General features: G+C 50.3%; 1 non-coding gene across 1 annotated transcript, besides 3 other annotated features; it reads left to right on the forward strand.

Annotated features, from left to right (window-relative positions):
* Window positions 4014–4515: an enhancer, noted in NCBI's record as "H3K4me1 hESC enhancer chrX:39686865-39687366 (GRCh37/hg19 assembly coordinates)". NCBI's record gives its function as "activates a minimal SCP1, AML or CMV promoter by ChIP-STARR-seq in naive H9 embryonic stem cells {active_cell/tissue: H9 hESC(naive)}" and the evidence as "EXISTENCE:reporter gene assay evidence [ECO:0000049][PMID:30033119]".
* Window positions 4516–5015: an enhancer, noted in NCBI's record as "H3K4me1 hESC enhancer chrX:39687367-39687866 (GRCh37/hg19 assembly coordinates)". NCBI's record gives its function as "activates a minimal SCP1, AML or CMV promoter by ChIP-STARR-seq in naive H9 embryonic stem cells {active_cell/tissue: H9 hESC(naive)}" and the evidence as "EXISTENCE:reporter gene assay evidence [ECO:0000049][PMID:30033119]".
* On the forward strand, window positions 13964–14016 carry MIR1587 (microRNA 1587). Its single transcript, NR_039763.1, has one exon. It is a non-coding gene; the product is annotated as a microRNA 1587 (primary transcript).
* Window positions 16213–16401: a silencer, noted in NCBI's record as "fragment chrX:39699064-39699252 (GRCh37/hg19 assembly coordinates)". NCBI's record gives its function as "represses an EF-1alpha promoter that drives an FKBP-Casp9 reporter gene in an ReSE screen in phorbol 12-myristate 13-acetate-treated (for megakaryocytic differentiation) K562 erythroleukemia cells {active_cell/tissue: K562(+PMA)}" and the evidence as "EXISTENCE:reporter gene assay evidence [ECO:0000049][PMID:32094911]".

Below are 17849 nucleotides of genomic sequence, written 5' to 3' on the forward strand. Positions count from 1 at the left end.
CAGATAGGTGAAAGAGCAAGCCTTCAAATGATTCCAATCCCGGCCTTTGAGCCACCCCACTTGATGCCAAGTTGCATCACCATTCAAGCTACCCAGCTGACACTGAGTGAAGCACAAATTATCCCTGCTGAGTACAGCCAAGTAGCAGATTCATGAACAAACTAAATGTTGATATAAGTCACTAAGTTTTGGGGTAGTTTGCTACCCAATAGATAGCTGAATCCCCCATTCCACTGACTTCTCTCCAGTCCTCTATTACCTAGGCACACCACAAACCTCCTTGTCACAGTACACAGAGTGAACTCTCTTCTGAGGCCCTAAGCTCTGTGCTCCATCCCTGCAGCCACCTGTTTGAGGATCCTCAGCTCCCCTGTCCCAGTAGCACAGCCTGGATAAACATCAGCCCACTATAAATCCAACAGGCCCTCCTGCCCTCCTCTAGGCTTGCTCCCAGGAGGCCCAGCCCAGCAGGAGGAAATCACTCAGCCTTGCTAAGCAGTAGCACCACCACCAGCCCTGTGAATCCTGCATCTTCCTGCTCAGCTCTCGACACACAGTTACTTCCCTCATTCTCCACTCAGCTGACTTCAGCCCCACACTCCACTTCACAGAGACCATGACCTCCCCCACCCCAGCATGTTGCCATCACACGTCTGTCCACAGCATCCTGTCTGCCTACCCTCTGGTTCCAGGTGTCTTTCCACCCATCTAAAGGCCAATCCCACTCTTGGGCTCTGGATGCTAGCTGCTCCAACTCTAGGGCAGCGCTGCACAACAGTTGCAGTGATGGAACTGTTCCATCTCTGTGCTGTCCAATAGAATAGCCACTAGCCACCTGTGACTACTGAGCACTTAAAATGTGGTCAGTACCACCAAGGGGATAAATTATTTTATCTTAGTTCATTTAGGTAGCTGAACGCTGCTAGTGGCTACTGTATTGTATAGTGCAACTCCAGAGATTAGTCCTGCCCTCTCCCAGGTCCTCGGCTTCACCCTCCCCATCAGCCATTTACAAGTCCTTCTCTCTCATCTCCTGCTACCTCCCACTCCACCCCCACCCACCCCCACTGCATTTTTCTCTGGTCCTTCACAGCCAAACTTCTTCATGGATTTGTCGCCACTGCCTCTTCTCCCATACCCGCACCTTGTCCACACCCTAGGTCTTTCCGAATGTCGTTTTCTTCCCCACCTTCCCAGCCCCTCCCCACGAAATGAACTCCCCACGTAATGAAATCACCTTAGAAGCTTCAAGGTAAAAAGTTACTTTTTCCAGGAAGCCCTACCGGACACCCCCATCCCAGAAGAGATTGGTTGTCTTTGCCATGTGTCCCTGTGGTGCCCTAAACAATCTCTGGGACTGTACATGTCAGTTTCTTGCCATTGCCTATTTAATTACCAGGCTTCCCTGCAGACTGGTTGTCCCGTGAGGGTAGAAGCCAAGCTCCCATGCCCATCATCACATCCCTGTGCTTGTGCCAGGCACATGATGGGTGGTCAGTAAATATTTGTTGAAGAAATGCCCTAAGGGGGAAACTGTAGCTAAACAAGTAAGTGACAGATGCTTCAGTGGAGGACCCAGTGGGTGGGTGGGAGCACACAGGGGAGTTCGAGGTTGGTAAAGGCCTCACAAAGAAGGTGACATCTGCAGGGGATCTGAAAAGACAAAATGAGTTTGCCAGGTGAGCAAGTCAGGAGATTATTCCGGGGAGAAAGATATCATGAGCAAAAACCCAGACATGCAGTGGCAATGAGCAGGAAGAAATGCAGACTGGGCGGAAGGGGTGAGAGAAGGAGGGCTGCGAGGAACCAGGCTGGGGGCAGAGTGAGGCCCAGAGGAAAGGGGCTTGCCTTGGGGGCCGTGCATTTTATCTTCAACCTGTTGAAGTTGAACCTGTTCAGCTTTGAGGCTTTTTGTTTACCCATTTGCATGAGAAGGGAACTCTGCAAGGAAGCTTGGAAGGGACCACGGTCATCTTGGAGATCCATTGCTCAGATCTCTCTTGCACACAGAACTTTCTACAAGTGCAATTAGTTGACAACCTCCAGCCGTGGGTGCCTTCAGGCTCTGCCTTTTAGGGCAAGGCCATGCACTTCCAGTGACTGAGTATGGCCAATCCAGGCTAGATCACTTCTCTAGGTGATCTTTACGCTAGAACTTCCCCATGGACCTGGCTGAGACTCTCTGAGCTGCACTGAGGGGTGAGGCTTTCCCTACCAGCCCCTCCTTCCTTCCCCTCTCCCTTCATAGGAGTCAGACCTGCTTCCTGGCCTGAAGGCCCTCCCCACCTCCTCCTGCTCCCTCCTCACTTCATCTTCCATAAGCATTTCCCCCAGTAAACCTCTTGCATGTCTAATTCCATCTTAGCATTTGCTTCCTGGAGGACCCAACTGACACAGTACAGAATTACTGACACACACACTTTCCCTTTACTGAGTCCCCTGTTAAATACTTGCCATACATTGTCTCACTAACCCTCCCAGCAGTCCCATAAGGTAGGCACCATTATTATCTTCACTTGACAGATGAGAACAGGGGCTCAGAGAGGACAAATTACTTGCACAAGGTCATACCATCAGGGCTTGATGGAATTCAAAATCAGGCCTAGGCATGCCTGACTCCAAAACTCAGCTGCTCAACTCCTGCACTGTGACCCTTTAGGGACTGGTTGGAACAAAGTTGTCCTGGAGACAGTGGCCAAGCAAATGAGGTGGACTGGAGCACGTCATCTCAAGAGTCCTCCAGGCCTTACTTTTTCCATCTCTGTGGCTTTGGGACATGTAGGCACACACAGGTGCCAGGATTTACCTGTGCCGAGGAACCTGCCTGCCACACTGTGACCAGGCAAGCATTGGATTGAGGGTAAACAGATTAGGATTCCAAAATGGGGGCTTTGGTCAGCACCTGAGTGATCTTAGGCAAATGACGTGGATTCACCAGGAAACTTCATTTCCACAGCTATGGTGATCATCTGATTCCCGTGATGATCTGGTGCCCCTGATGTTTGATGCTCTTCTTTGCCACAGCCTGACTTCCTGTCCAAGATGCCCAAGGCAAAAAGTAGACTTTTTCTCTGCTTGCAAAGTGATTTGTGGTCTCAGCTCAAAAGCCTGAAAACTAATGTTTGCAGCCAGGGGGTTGGAATACCTGAGGACTGCTTAGGTAAACAGTCCTACCAGACTGCCTCTGGAGAAGGTTTTTGGTGGTGAGCAGAGGGGCCCACTCGAGGTCTGCTTGACCTGTGCCTGTACCTGCACCTGTTCACGACGAAGGTGCAGTCTCAGCCCCCTTGGGGAGAGGATGCGGTCATTGGCAGTGCCCCCTCAGCTGCGCGCTGTGGGATCTAACCAGTGATAATGCTGGTAAATGTTTAACTGGCTCTCTGGGGGAAAGTCCTAATTTCTAGTTTTTGCCAATTTCCATAGAGCAAACCCTCCTACTCTAGCCAATTCCAAGCTTCAGACTTGTCATCACTGAACACAGAGGTAGGAAGAGCTGTGCACAGTTGGCTGGGCTCTTGTGCGCTGGAGCCGGCCCCAAAACACCCCTCACTGGGTCTAACCCTGTGGCTGACTGAGGAATGGCTCCTCATGCATGGCCAGAGACTCCTGAGTACACAGGGCCAGGCCAGGGAGCAGAGGAATCAAAAGGATGGGGCAGGGGTTAGGGGCTTCGACTGGCTGGGTTGGGGGCCTGGGAAGAACATGTCACGCCAGATGCCACATCACAGCTCAGCGTGTTGCTGCACAGTCTGGCCCAGCGTGTGTTCATGCATTTGCTCTGTCTCTTTCTAGAGACATTCTAGAACTCAGTGCTTACATCTGGCAGATGCTCACTACATTTCTAATTGAGAAGTGTGTGCGTGCTTAGATCCAGGCCTTTCCCCCAGAGACAATAGAGACAGAGATACCCAGAGAGACTGACTGTAAAGACTGGGCCACAGCCTCGGCAGCTCTGAGCTGTGGCAGGGATTGCAGCGTGGGAGCTGGAGGAGTAGAATCGCTCGGGGAAGAAAGACAAGGTTCCTATTGAGTTAGGATGAGAGGTTCACAAACCAGAAGTGGTTATAGGGGCTCCCCTTCTATAGAGACTCCTTGGAGCAGGACTGAGGCCCCTGGAAGCTAAAGGCCATTGCCTGGCTGCTTGCCCCCAGGCAACCTTCCCCACACCTGCCCCCTCCCCACCTCTGCCTGACTGACCCTAGATCCTTTTTCTTTTTTCTTCCTTTCCTTTGTACAAAAAGGGAAGAGCAAGTCCGGCTCAAACGTGCTACTCTCCAGGAATTGCCGAAACTTACACTGAATGACACCCAAATCCCTTCATGGGCACCTCCGATAACCACCTTGGTGGCCGTTTTTCATACCCATGGCTCATTAGGGTTTCTGGGGCCAGGCCAAGAAATTGCCAAAGACAAGACAAGCAACGCCTGCCTGGAAATTCCGCAGAGCCCACTCCCCTCAGAGGCCCTTCCTGCAGCGTGAGTGAGGGGGTGAGTTGCGCTGAGCTAGAGCCGCGCCTGACAAGTGACACGCCTGATGAGAGACGCGATGACGAGTCCCTGGGGAGGCTGTGGAGTCTGGTTCCTGCAGACACTGTCTCCCCTGAGGCAGTCTCCGCGCTTGAGTGCTGAGTGTGTGGTGTGTGTGTGTGTGTATGCACACACATCTTGCTTCTCCAAAGAAGATTCTCTGAGCTCCACAGCAAGCTTGACAGAGGCCCCCCGAACACTCCTGGGGTCCACGGACATCAAGAACAGGCACGGCAGGCCGGGTGCGGTGGCTCACGCCTGTAATCCCAGCACTTTGGGAGGCCGAGGCAAGCAGATCACTTGAGGTCAGGAGTTCGAGACCAGCCTGGCCAACATGGTGAAACCTGGTCTCTACTAAAAATACAAAAATTAGCTGGGCGTGGTGGTGGGTGCCTGTAATCCCAGCTACTTGGGAGGCTGAGACACAAGAATCACTTGAACCAGGGAGGCAGAGGTTGCAGTGATCCGAGATTGCGCAACTGCACTCTGGCCTGGGTGATAGAGCGAAACTCCATCTCAAAAAAAAAGAAAGAAAAGAAAAAAAAAGAAAAGAAAGAAGGAAAGAACAGGCATGACAAGCCAGCCACAGCCTGCTGAGTTCAGGAGGTCCCTCATGGAGTTGCCCTATCCTCACCTCCCTGTTCCAAGCACATACAGGGATGGATTGATCCCCTTGGGAGCTGCTGAGCCCTGCCTGGTACAGCAAGGGAGGTAAGATCCAGCCTGCAGGTGTGTGATTCGCCTGACTCAGCCCAAACCCAGATCATGCCTGGACCATCAGCCCTGTGCTGGGCACTGGGCCATACAGAAATGAATAAAATAGTCTCTCTCTTCAGAGTGCTTGCAATCTAGGTACTGCAGACTATGTAAGGGTCATATGTTCCAAAGAAGCCAAGGTCACAAGAAAAATTTTTTTTTCCTAGCCCTCCTCTGATATTCCCACCCCCAAAAGCTTTCTGAAGGATGTGGCATGTGATTTTGAAAAATGCCTAGGCTGACAAAAGCCCACAGAGATGGAACAAGAGGAGGAATGTCTTCCAGCAGGGTCTTGTGGTTAAAGTGAAGAGTTCCCTTTGGGGGAAGTGGATGTAATGAATGTGGAAGATGACAAAGAACCAAAGAAGCTCAAGGCAGGACTGTATGTCAAGTATTTGGTCCCCTGGGTTCCCCTCCAGACACCAACAAGCAGCCACCATCTTTTTCTTCATGCTCTGCAGGGAGTGTTACAAAGTCATACATGGTCCCCTTCTTAGATGGATCTGAATGTCTTAGAGTTCCTACCTGTACTGAGCCAAAAGGTGCAGCTCTCTTGCTATTCACCCTGGGGCCTGCAAAAACAAGGCTCATTTCTCTTCCACCAATGACCCTTCAAATATTTGAAATAACTGTGTTTTGCTTTTCTACTCCTGCCTAAGAAGTACCACCAAAACTTAATGGTTTAAAACAACAGTGTGATTATAGCTCACTGCAGCCTCCAATTCCTGTGCTCAAGTGGTCCTCCCACCTCAGCCTCCCAAGTAGATGGGACTACAGGCATGAGCCACCACACTCAGCTTAACAATTGATTCTTTTTCTCACAATTCTACAGGGTCAGTTTGGCTCAGCTGGATGGTTCTTCTGTTCCACGTGGCAGCTGGAGCCATGCAACTGCAGTCAGCTAGGAGTTTGACAGAGTATGGGGCATCCCAGATGGCCTCATTCACATTTTTGGCAGTTGGTGTTACCTATTGACTGAGTTGCTCGTGTTCTCTTCCCCTCGGCCTCTCTCTTCAGTAGCGTAGCCCAGGCTTTTTACATGGCAGTTCTATTCGAGAAAGCAAAGACAGATGCTGCCAGGTCTCTTAAGTCCTAGACTCAGAAGTCACATGGGAACACTTCCATTGCATTCTCTTGGCCAGACCAAGTCACAAGGCCAGCCTGGGCTCAAGGGGAGGGGAAACAGATTCTTGCTTCTTTTTGATGAGGAGAGTGGCATGCATACACAGGGATGGGAGAAATTGCTGGCAACCAGTTTTGCAGACAGTCTGCCAGGAGCTTCCAACAGGTCCAAAGTCCTTTCTTCCAAGCCATCCCTTCCCACTGAACCCATGCTGGTTTGGGTACACCTCTCTTAGGCTTGCTGTAGAGCCTCCTTCAGTATAGTGAGGGGAATCATTTGAGCAGTACGGAATATTGAGGACTTTCAGAGGAGACTTGGGGATATGGGCTGAGGCCAGAGCAAGCTCTAACCTTTAAGGCAGCCCCCAAATTGACTAGGGCCAGAGGAGCGGGGGTGAGGGAGAGAGGCCTCCTGATAGAGGATGTTTAGAGCTCCCCCTTGTCCAAAAAGCCCCTAGGAAAGAAAGCTTTCTGGCTGGTAAAGACTCCAGAAAACCTGTCACACAGCAGAACAAAGTGTTCTTTAAAAACCCTAAAGACTCTCCATGTCCCAGCTGGTCACTTGGAGCAAACACTGCTGGTTAGGGAACTTGTAGTGCTTAGTTGGCAATTAATCACTTGGAGCTCTGTGATGTCCCTCATATTGTCCCGGGTTGTTATTTAACTCTAGCTGTGTTTACGCTGCCAGGCAGAGTAGAGCCTCTAAGACAGACTGCAGACCAGCCTAGAACACCCTCTTCCTGGTGAGAGAGTCTCTCCTCTCTCTCTTTCTGATCATTTTAATGTTCTTCTTTATATTCTTCTGTATTTTTCCATTTTTTTTCTATAATGACTACCTTATACTTTCATAACAAGAGAAAAAGGTTAGGGGAATCCCTGACAAAGATGTTCATTGGAATATTATTTATATTAACAGAAATTTGAGGACAGAATCAATGTCCAGCAATAAGAACATTGCTAAATAAATTATGATGAATCTATGGGGTGCAAAATTCTGAAGCCATTTAAAGCGAGGCTCTATAAGAGCATTTAATGATACAGGAAAATGCTCATGGTAGAACATTAGTGAGAAAACAAGCCAGCTTCCAAATTTTTAAAGGGTTTGGTCTAAATTGTGATATATGGTAATATGAAAATAAGAGCTAGTATTTCTTTCTTTCTTTTTTTTTCTTTTTTCTTCTTGGGACGGAGTATCGCTCTGTTGTCCAGGCTGGAGTGCTGTGGCACTATCTCAGCTCACTGCAACCTCCGTCCCCCAGGCTCAAGCGATTCTCTTGCCTCAGCCTACTGAGTAGCTGGGACTATAGGCACATGCTACCACGCCCGGCTGATTTTTTGTGTTTTTAGTAGAGACAGGGTTTCACCATGTTGGCCAGGCTGGTCTTCAACTCCTGACCTCAAGTTATCCACCCACCTCGGCCTCCCAAAGTGCTGGGACTACAGACATGAGCCACCATGCCCAGCTACTTTTTGTATTTTTAGTAGAGATAGGGTTTCATCATGTTGGCCAGACTTGTCTCAAACTCCTGACCTCAAGTGATCTGCCCACCTTGGCCTCCCAAAGTGCTGGGATTACAGGCATGAGCCACCGTGCTTGGCCAAGAGCTAGTATTTATTGAGCACTTACTATGTGCTGTCACTAGCAGGAATCATCTCATTCAGTCAGCACAAAATCCCCATAAGCTACGTACAGTCATCCCTCGGTACCCATGGAAGGATTGGTTCCAGGACCCCCCCACCCGCCCCCACCCCTTGGATAACAAAATCTGGGATGCTCAAGTCTCTCATATAAAATAGTATAGTATTTGCATATAACCTATGCACATTCTCCTGTACACTTTAAATCATCTCTAGATTACTTATAATACCTACTACAGGCAGGGCACAATGGTTCACACCTGTAATCCTAGCACTTTGGGAGGCCAAGGAGGGTGGATCACCTGAGGTCAGGAGTTTGAGACCAGCCTGGGTAACATGGTGAAACCCCGTCTCTACTAAAAATACAAAAATTAGCTGGGCGTGATGGTGCGCTCCGGTAGTTTCAGCTACTCAGGAGGCTGAGGCAGGAGAATCGCTTGAGTCTGGGAGGTCGAGGCTGCAGTGAGCCATGATCATGCCACAACGCTCCACCTCCTGGGGGAGAGAGCAAAATCCTGTCTCAAAAAAAAGTAAATAAATAAATAAAAACAAAATCAAAACAAGAATAAAAGCAAATGGGACCCCTGGCCAGCAAAACTTCACATACTGGATTTAAGGTTTGAAGCCTTCCCTTTGATCCTCAGACCGGCCTTGTTCTCACTCCTGCTGGTCTGCTTCCTGGCTCTCCTCCTGGGAAAGCAGAGGGGTAAGTCCCCTGATTCATCCTTGGCAGCTTTTCATCAGTATTTGACCAGACTTCGAAGGTCCGAAATGACGGCTGGGAGGCGGCTGTTTCCCAAATACAGAGCCATCCTTCCCTCCCTCCCAACCATGTACCGCCCTGGTTTCACTGCTCCAGCATCTGGTGGATACGTTGTCTTATCCCTAACTAAATCATCCACTGCTCTTGGCACGGACCGTGACTTACACACATCTTGCCGTCACCCACGTCACCCATGGCACCTGGTGTCTTGACACAGATAACAGCCTCTGAAAACACACCTACCCATTGGCTGCTCGACACATGGAAGCCCAGAAACAGTGCAGGCAGCTCAGGAGCTTATGGTGGGAGGGAGCCTTGTGCCAGACCCAGACATCCTACCTGGGTGGAAAGGAATGGAGGGAATACAGTACGCCTCAGATGCTAGCCACCAGATGGGCCCGTTAGAGGCTGTTGAAGCAAAAAGTAGTGCCAGAAACTCAATTCTAGCAATAGAACCTGGAGATGGGGCCTTTACATTAGGAGATTATCCACAGACTCACAGACATTCAGTCCAAGCCCCAATGGGATTCACTTTGTCCCTGTGAATGTCAGTCTGTATTTATCAGTTGGTCAACAAATATTTATTGAGGCCAAGGCAGCAAATTATAAGGTACTTGAGTTGGGATAGAGGCTTGTGGGGGTTGGGGAGGGACAGTGGGCCCTCATTTTCCCCACTCACCCTGCCCTTCGCCCAACCACCACATACACACACTTTGGAACTTAGGGACTTAGAGATTGGTTCTTGTAGATCTTGGTGGTTTTCATGAACGGTTTACAGTCTGTTGGACAGAGTGGTATGTGGACCATTGTTCCCTGATTCCTGTCCCCTCCTGTATTTGAATTATTCACCATACTCCTTGGCATTGATCTTGCAGTTTCTTATACATTTCTCCACCCCTTAACTTTGGGCCTGGACCTGTAACTTGCTTTGATCAATGAGGTGTTAGTAGATGGGTGGCAAGCAGAGGTTTGCAACGTGCTTGTGAGGTTGGCCTAGCCCAACCTCTTATGCTTCTGCTGTGTCATGAGAACAGGGCTCAGCTCGACAGCAGGTCCAAGGGGCCGACTCAGGCTTCTCCCCATGGACTTGCCCCCACCTCTGCCTGGCTCTCTGGCTGCTACAGCAAAGGCACCAGGCTAAGTATTCAAACATCAATGGTTTCATTCAATTCACTCAACAGCTCTAGGAGGCAGGGCCCACTTGACAGATGAGAAAACTAGAACACAGTAAAATCACTTGACCAAGGTCACACAGCCAGGAAAAGCCAAGTGAGGATTTGAACTCAGCGGTCGGCTCCAGAACCTTCAAGGTGAGCCTCCTTTGATTTCTCCTGATCCCTGGGAACCTCATCTACCAGTAGGGTCTGGGCTCCCGAGCCAAGTCCAGGCCAAGGGGAACATTCCTTACTTGTGGCAACCTGGTAGTCGTGTCTTATCTTAATCCCTAGCCGGCAAAGACTCTGGAACATTCCTGTTCACTACCACAGCTGCCACCACACTAACCTGCCTCAGAGGCCCCCATGACACCTTCGGCAGGTACCTAGGATTGACCACCTGGGGGGCCCCACTCTCTCTCACACTGGAATTTGAGCCCTCAGGCAAATAATAAGCTGAACATTTTTTCAATCTCCTGCCAGTGCCATGAGCTCCCTCAATTACAGCCACCATTGGCAAGCCCTGGGCCCTTATCTGCAAACCCCTAGGTTCATCACAAGAGTCTCAGAGCAAAGCTTTCTCAGCCAAGAGCTGCAAACATGATGTCCTGAGCTTAAATTAGAAGGCAAGGTCCTCTGGCCAGGTGCAGTGGCTCACACCTGTAATCCCAGCACTTTGGGAGGCAGAAGCAGGCAGATCGCTTGAGCCCAGTAGTTCAAGACTAGCCTGGGCAACATGGCGAAACCCCATCTCTACAAAAAAATACAAAAATTAACTAGGTGAGGTGGTACATGCCTGTAGTCCCAGCTACTTAGGAGGCTGAGGTGGGAGGATCAATTCAGCCCAGGAAGTCGAGGTTGCAGAGAGCCATGATCGTGCCAGCCTAGGTGACAGAGCAAGACCCTGTCTCAAAAAAAGAAAAAAGGAAAGTGAGGTCCCTCTTGTCTATCACCCCTGAAATGTCCCTATAGTTTTCTGACACACATACATTGATACAGATAATGTATACACAGGTGTCATCTTAATTTTGGCCTCAAGGTCTTGAAGGGCTCGGCAGGGCCGTGGGTGTGGGGACTTATTAGTACTGTCCATTATCATTAGAATAGGAGAGTTATTTTAGGCAAACACTAACTCACACTAAGTCCAGAGGCTGGTGAAATAGTCCTTCACCTTTCTCATCAAGTCCTTTAAAGTCTATACAAAGCAGATCTCTGTGAGTTAGCACAGGGTTTAACTCTGAGTAACAAAGACCAGAAATGAAAGTGGCTTAAATGAGTCAAAAGTGTATTTCTCACCCAAATACCCAAGCTAGGTGGTCTGGGGCTGGTGTGGCAGCTGTGGCTGTGCTCCATGAACCCTCAGGGACTATGGCAGGTAGAATTTTCCAGAACTGGCTACAACAGTATCTCCTGTCCCTCACGCTCTTCTGTATCATGAGCTTGATAGCCCACCAGTGGAGAAGGGGCGTCTGATTCCCCTCCTAGGTTGAATCTAAGCCAGCTTGTGACTGTTTCGGCCAATAGAATTTGGTAGAGTGATACTGCAAGATTTTTGGGTGGATCATAAAAGGTCATATGTTCTCCACCTTGTTCACTGGAATATTCTTGCTTGGGGCTCAGAGCCACCATGTAAGAGATCCAACTACCCTGAGGTTACTATGCTGTGATGACATCAAGCCACATGGAGAGGCCATGTATAGGTGCCCTGGTTGACAGTCCTAATCTTTGAGCCATCCTTATTCCAGGCTCCAGATGTGTAAGTGAAGCTGTGTTGGATCTTCCAGACCAGCCATTCAGTCAGCTGAGTACCACTGAGTGACGCCAGTCAACACCACTAGGAACAAAAGCATTGCCCAGCCAAGCCCTGCCCAGAGTCCTTTCCCACAGAATCTATGAGCACAATAAAATGGTTGTTTGGGATTTTTGAGACAGAGGCTCACTCTGTTCCCCCAGGCTGGATTGCAGTAGCATGATCTCGGCTCACTGCAACCTCCGCCTCCCATGTTGAAGTGATTCTTGTGCCTCAGCCTCCCGAGTAGCTGAGACTACAGGTGTGCGCCACCATGCCTGGCTAATTTTTGTATTTTTGGTACAGATGGGGTTTCACCATGTTAACCAAGCTGGTCTCAAACTGGCCTTAAGTGATCTGCCCACCTTAGCTTCCCAAAGTGCTGGGATTACAGGCGTGAGCTATCACGCCCAGCCCTAAAATGGTTGTTTTAAGCCACCAACTCTGCAGTAGTTTGTTACACACCGAAAGTAACTGGGACAGAAATTCTGGTTCCATCCAGCTCATTGTTCTGCCACAGCTAGGAGTGACCTTGTCCTCATTATCCAAAATGGTGTCTGGAGCTTCAGCCATTACATCTGCATTCCAGATGGTAGGATATTGGGAGGGATGAAGGAAAAGGGCAAAGTGTGTGACACAGCTCTCTCTTAAGGAAGTTCCTGGAGGATGCCTCAGGACATGAAATAAAATTGGCTAGTATTTAGTCATGTAGCCATACCTAGCAATAAGAGAAGCTGGGAAACATTGTCTTTATTCCAGATGAGTGTATGCCCAACTAAAAATCAGGGGTTCTATTACATAAGAAGATGAAGAAAATAAACACAACAGTCTGCCACAGCATCCCCAAATGCCCTTGCTCTCTCCCTCCTCTCCCAGAGCCCCCGTATTTATTTATATACACTGTCAGCCTAGCCCAGGGTCCTAACATGAATATCAAGAAGTGAGTATCTAAAAGACAAATGAGTGTTTCTCCAGCTAATACTGAAGATCCCTCTCAAAGCATAATTTCTGATGCTAACAAAGTCTTTCTCTTTTCTTTTCTTTTTTTTTTTTTTTTTTTTTTACAGAGTCTTGCTCTGTCCCCTAGGCTGGAATGCAGTGGCACAATCTTGGCTCACTGCAACCTCCACCTCCTGGGTTCAAGCAATTCTCCTGCCTCAGCCTCCCCAGTAGCTGGGATTACAGGCGAGTGCCACCATGACCAGCTAATTTTTGTATTTTTAGTAGAGACAGGGTTTCACCATGTTGGCCAGGTTGGTCTCCAACTGCTGACCTCAGGTGATCTCCCAAAGTGCTGGGATTACAGGCATGAGCCACCGTGCCCGACCTTGTCTCTTTTCTTTCTAAAGGCCCCTTCCCAGTAAGGATGAGGAAAGATGGTAGGGGTCTGGGGCCAGGGGGAATAGGGATCCTGGCCAGCCCCATATATTAATTAATGAAGCAACTGTTAGTGTGTCCAACACTGGCTCCTCTAATCCTTGCCCTAAAACATGGCACTACGATTACATTCAGTTAGCAGATGGGGGAAAAAAACAGACTCAGAAAGCTTAAGTGACTCACCCCAAGTCACACAGCTAGAAGTGGCAAGGACAGCAGGGCTGGTGTGGCAGCTGTCACAGCTCACCCCTGAGCACAAGGTCAGGTGCCAAGTTCCTGGTGGTGGCTCTTTAAACAGCAAGTCCCAGCATGTCCCCTGTCACCGGGTCTGCCTGTGGTCTGCAGCCTCCCTTGTGGAGACCCTGCTTGTCTGTCTTCCCTGCACCCACAGGAACAGGATCGTTTGTGAGCATGCCTGAGGGAAGCCAGGGTTGTGTTAAACTGTGGCTACAGCCGAGACCCGTGGACATTGTTCTCTTTCAGTTTGGAACTGGGCCTCACTCCAGAGCTCGGTGCCTGAGCCTGAGCCTCCACTCAGAGACAAGCTCATCAGCTGCAAGACAGTCAGGGAGGTGCAGGCAGCCCCCGCAGCTTGTGAATCAGTGAGTGAGCTTAGATATATAAAGAACCCCGGCAAATGATGAAAAACTTCTGCAGATGGCTGGTGGTGATGGTAGCACAATGTGAATGTACTGAATGCCACTCAACTGTACGTTTAAAAATGGTTAAAATGGTAAATGCTATGTTATGCATATTTTATCACAATAAAAAAACACCCCAAAACTTAGTGGCTTAAAAGAGCAATCATTTATCAGCCCATGATTCTGCAGATCTGCAATTTGGGCTGGGCTGGGTTGGGCAGTTCTTCTGCTGGACTCACCTGTGACCAGCTGGCAGGTCACCTGGGAACCGAATGGTCTAGGATGGCCTCATGCAGTGTGTCTGGTGGTTGGTGCTGGTTGTCAGCTGGGTGGCAGTGGTGACTGGGCCACATACCTCCACCTGCCTAACCCAGGCACATTCACATGTTGGCAGTTGTAAGGGTCCCAAGAACAGCGTGAGAGGGCAAATCTCAATGCACAAGCACTTTTCAAACCTCTGCTAATCATGGTTGATGGTGTCCCATTGGCCAAAGCAAGTCACCTGGCCAAACCCACAGTCAGTGTGGGAGGGAACTACACCAGGGACTGAATCCAAGGAGGTGTGAGCAAATGGAGTCACTACCACCAGTCACACAACTTGTCCATGAGTTATTGTTGCAACTATCAAGCCTGGGTGACTACACAGGTGCATTAATTTTCAAAACAGAAAAGAAAGCTGGTTGCCCAAATCAGCATCTACTTTAGCCATTGAAGACACGAGATGGCCCCAGGCAGGAGTGCAGTTTTCAAAAATGAAGGGAACATTCTAGCATGACGTCGTCTCTTGGAGATCCAGAACAGAACCCACATCCCCAGCTCTTGGGGCTTTCTGTGAAGTTTCGGAGAGCAAGCAGGGTGCCCCCAGCTCTTCCTGGTTGGTGGAAGCGCCAGCCTCTCCAAGTGCATCCACTTCTTAAAGGCAAATCGTGATTCCCAGGCCCTGCCCCATCAACACAGATATGCTAAAAGCAGGGTTTGAACTAGAGATGGGTGGTGAGAACCAGGCCAAAAAATGACTCCTTCCGCAGTGTACTGGATTTCCTTTCTGCCCTGTCCCCGGATAGAGCCCCAGAGGAGAACGGCTGTTTGCTTTCTTTCCAAAATGAGCTCAACTTTCCTTTGGGAAGAAGGAGGTGGAGTTGTCCTGCCCCCATTACTGAGCAAATCAAGAATGGAGGGCCAGCCTCTATACCCCGCCGGCTGACAAGGAGGGCAGCCATACCCACACAAGAGTCAGACAGTCTGGGTGACCCCATCAATCACCCCTGTGTGACCTTGAGCAAGTTACTTAGCCTCACATGGTCTGTTTCCTCATAGAAGTGCAACAACGACAAGATTAACCCCTCTTGAAGGGCCATCATGAGGATCCTATGCCCTAGCTCTTGCATGAGACAGTCCAGAGCACATAGAAGATGCTTACTAGCCACAGCTTGTCTTTTACGGTGGCTCTCTCCCAAGCCACAGGAGAAGAAAGCTTCTATGAGCTAGGCCAGGGTAACAGACCAACAAGGTCATTTGCAAACCCACATCTGGGCAGCAAATCTCACAGCCCTCCTTTCATCCAAAGGGCTTGATCATGGCAGCGGTGCTTCCACCCCCCTGACGCAAGAGAGACTCCCTCTGCCTTCCCCCGAAGCCATCACTAAGTCTCCACCTAACATTGTGTAAGGATGTCCCAACCATCCCTCCAAACCCTACTTCCACTGGCTGTGACAGGTGGCCAGACAGGAAGGAGGTATTACCTTGGTGTGAGAGTGGAGGGTTACAAGCTACCTTCAGGGTGCTACCTTGCAGGTTTCAGAAAACAGGCCAAGCCGCAACCCCATACACCACCTCTCCAGCATGCGGAAGCCGTGCTGCTGAAAGCATTTTGATTTTCCTCTTCCCTTGGCTTATCCTCTCCCCCTCAAATGCCATCTGCGGGGGAAATAGAAACAAGAGAGCATTTTAAAGACTTCTTGTGGTCTAAAAGCAGCAGTCCTCCAGGATGAAGCATCCTTAGGAAACCAATGACTGATTCTTTCAACCCTATTCCATGAAGCAGAACCCCCAAATCGTCCCCCTCTGATTTTACATCCCCTTGAGTTTGCCAGATTTTACCACCCAGCATCCTCCAGTGTCCCAAGCAGACCCGCAGCACACACCTGATTAAGCAGGTGCCAGACCCCCCCACCCTCACCCCGGGGCAGGTTTTGCGTGTTGACTCTCTCGGAACACTGCCCCTACCTGGTTCAGCTGGTTTATTGCAAGTTAATTGGTCTCATCCCTTCCCACTCCCCAACTCCATCACCCTTGGTTATTTATTGCTATGTACCAGTTACATAATGTTTTCTCTTTCGTTCATGAGGTAACAAAAATGTCTCTGCCTTTTTATTTTTTCTTAGACAGGGCTGGAGGGAGGAAAACAAGGGGTGACCCAGAAGTCTGCATGTCACCCTGGCCCTGAGGAACACTTAGAGATTCCCTCGCTTGGGTTCTGCCCCAGAGGATGGAAGAGATGAACTGCCACCTTTACCAGTCAAGCTGAGAAGGCTGCAGGCCCTCTGAGGTTCTGGGTGGGCTCCCGGCCTCCCCCTGGCTAGGGAAATATGGCCATTGGTAAACTGGGGAGAGAGGTACATGGACACAGGGCTGGGGTGAGGGGGCAGTAAAGGACCCTGATAAATCTGTCCTGGCTTTAAAGCTCCAAATAGGAGCTTGCCTTCATGGGCTCCTTCCTCCAGGTTCAGAAACCTGGACAAATAGCTCCCCACTTCCCAGGGTCAATGACCAAATCTGGATGGAGGGGGAGGGGAGAGCAGGCTGGGGGTGTGGGGGGTGGCGGTGCTGCTACCGCTGCTGCTGCAGCCCCCTGTGTATAAAACTCCCTTTGTATGCAGGTCGCCGGCTGCTCCCCATGCCAGGTGCAGCTGCCAGGATTCTCAATGCGGTTTGAACACAATTTGCCAGTGTTGGTTCAGCTCCGCTGGCTTCCAGTTGGGGGGCCATATGCTGTCTTTAATCTGCCTGTGCAATTCTCACCGATGTCAATAGGCGCGGGCGGGTGGGTGGTTCAAATGGCCCGAGAGCTGGGACTGGGGTGGTGCTCTCCCTGCTGCCAGGCGGCCTAGCTCTCCACCCCACCAAGGACCACCAGCGGGTCCTTGCAGGAGGCCATGGCAGCAGGCGGCAGGGACAGGCAGGGCCCAGTCACTGGCAGCTGCCCCTGTGTTTGGCTATGGCGCGTGGGAGCCTCTCTGTTCGGCCATCCCCAGAGCCATCATTGAGCCTTCCCCTCGACAGAGATCCCTGCCAAGGAAGTCGGCCAGGGAGGTGCCAGCGCTCAGTCCAGACTTCACATTTCCCTCATTCTTTCTTTAATTGGATTTTTGGTCCTGCTGGGCAAAATAAGCTTTCCACTGGCAAAACACTCTTGCCTCTTCGGAACGCGCGGTGGTGCCCGGCGGCTCTAGGCAGATCGTCGCCTGCCTCCCCCACCAACGCATTCATTCCCTCTCCCCAGGGACACAAGAGAGCTTGGCGTGCACACACATGCACTCACACACACACACATCCCCTCTGCCAGGTCCAGGCAAAGTCAGCCTCCCTCCAAGAACTTGATGTAGAGATCTTTGCAAACAGTTACTCTTGCTTACCAGGTCACGATCCCACATGGAATGGCCCGGAGTCGGGTGCTGTGGTTGGAGCTGGGGCTGTTGGGCGGGCATCAGGCCCTGGCCCAGCTGTTGGCTGCCCTCTCCGTGGCTGGGCTGCCCCCTCCCCTTGTAGTTAGTCCCTCCTTCCCTGAAGCCCTGAAAGTCCCAATTCTGTTACTCAGACACAGATTAAGGTGCCAAGAAGCAATCTTCTGTCTTTCCTTGACAATCGGACAGGCAAGCTAGGCCTTCGTGTGTGTTTGGGGTGGAAGTGTGTGGTGGTGGTGGGTTGGGGAAAGGCTGACGGAGGAGCAGGCAAGCAAGCTGGAGTCGGACTGAGAATGTCATTCAGAGAAGTGGCATTTTACTAGCAGCACTCAACATGAGATATTTAGATACTCTTACATCTTGGACTGAGCATTAGGGAAGAAAGGGAGAGGGGGAGGAG

The sequence above is a fragment of the Homo sapiens genome, chromosome X (genome assembly GCF_000001405.40).
Source record: "Homo sapiens chromosome X, GRCh38.p14 Primary Assembly".
NCBI classification, from domain to species: Eukaryota; Metazoa; Chordata; class Mammalia; order Primates; family Hominidae; genus Homo; species Homo sapiens.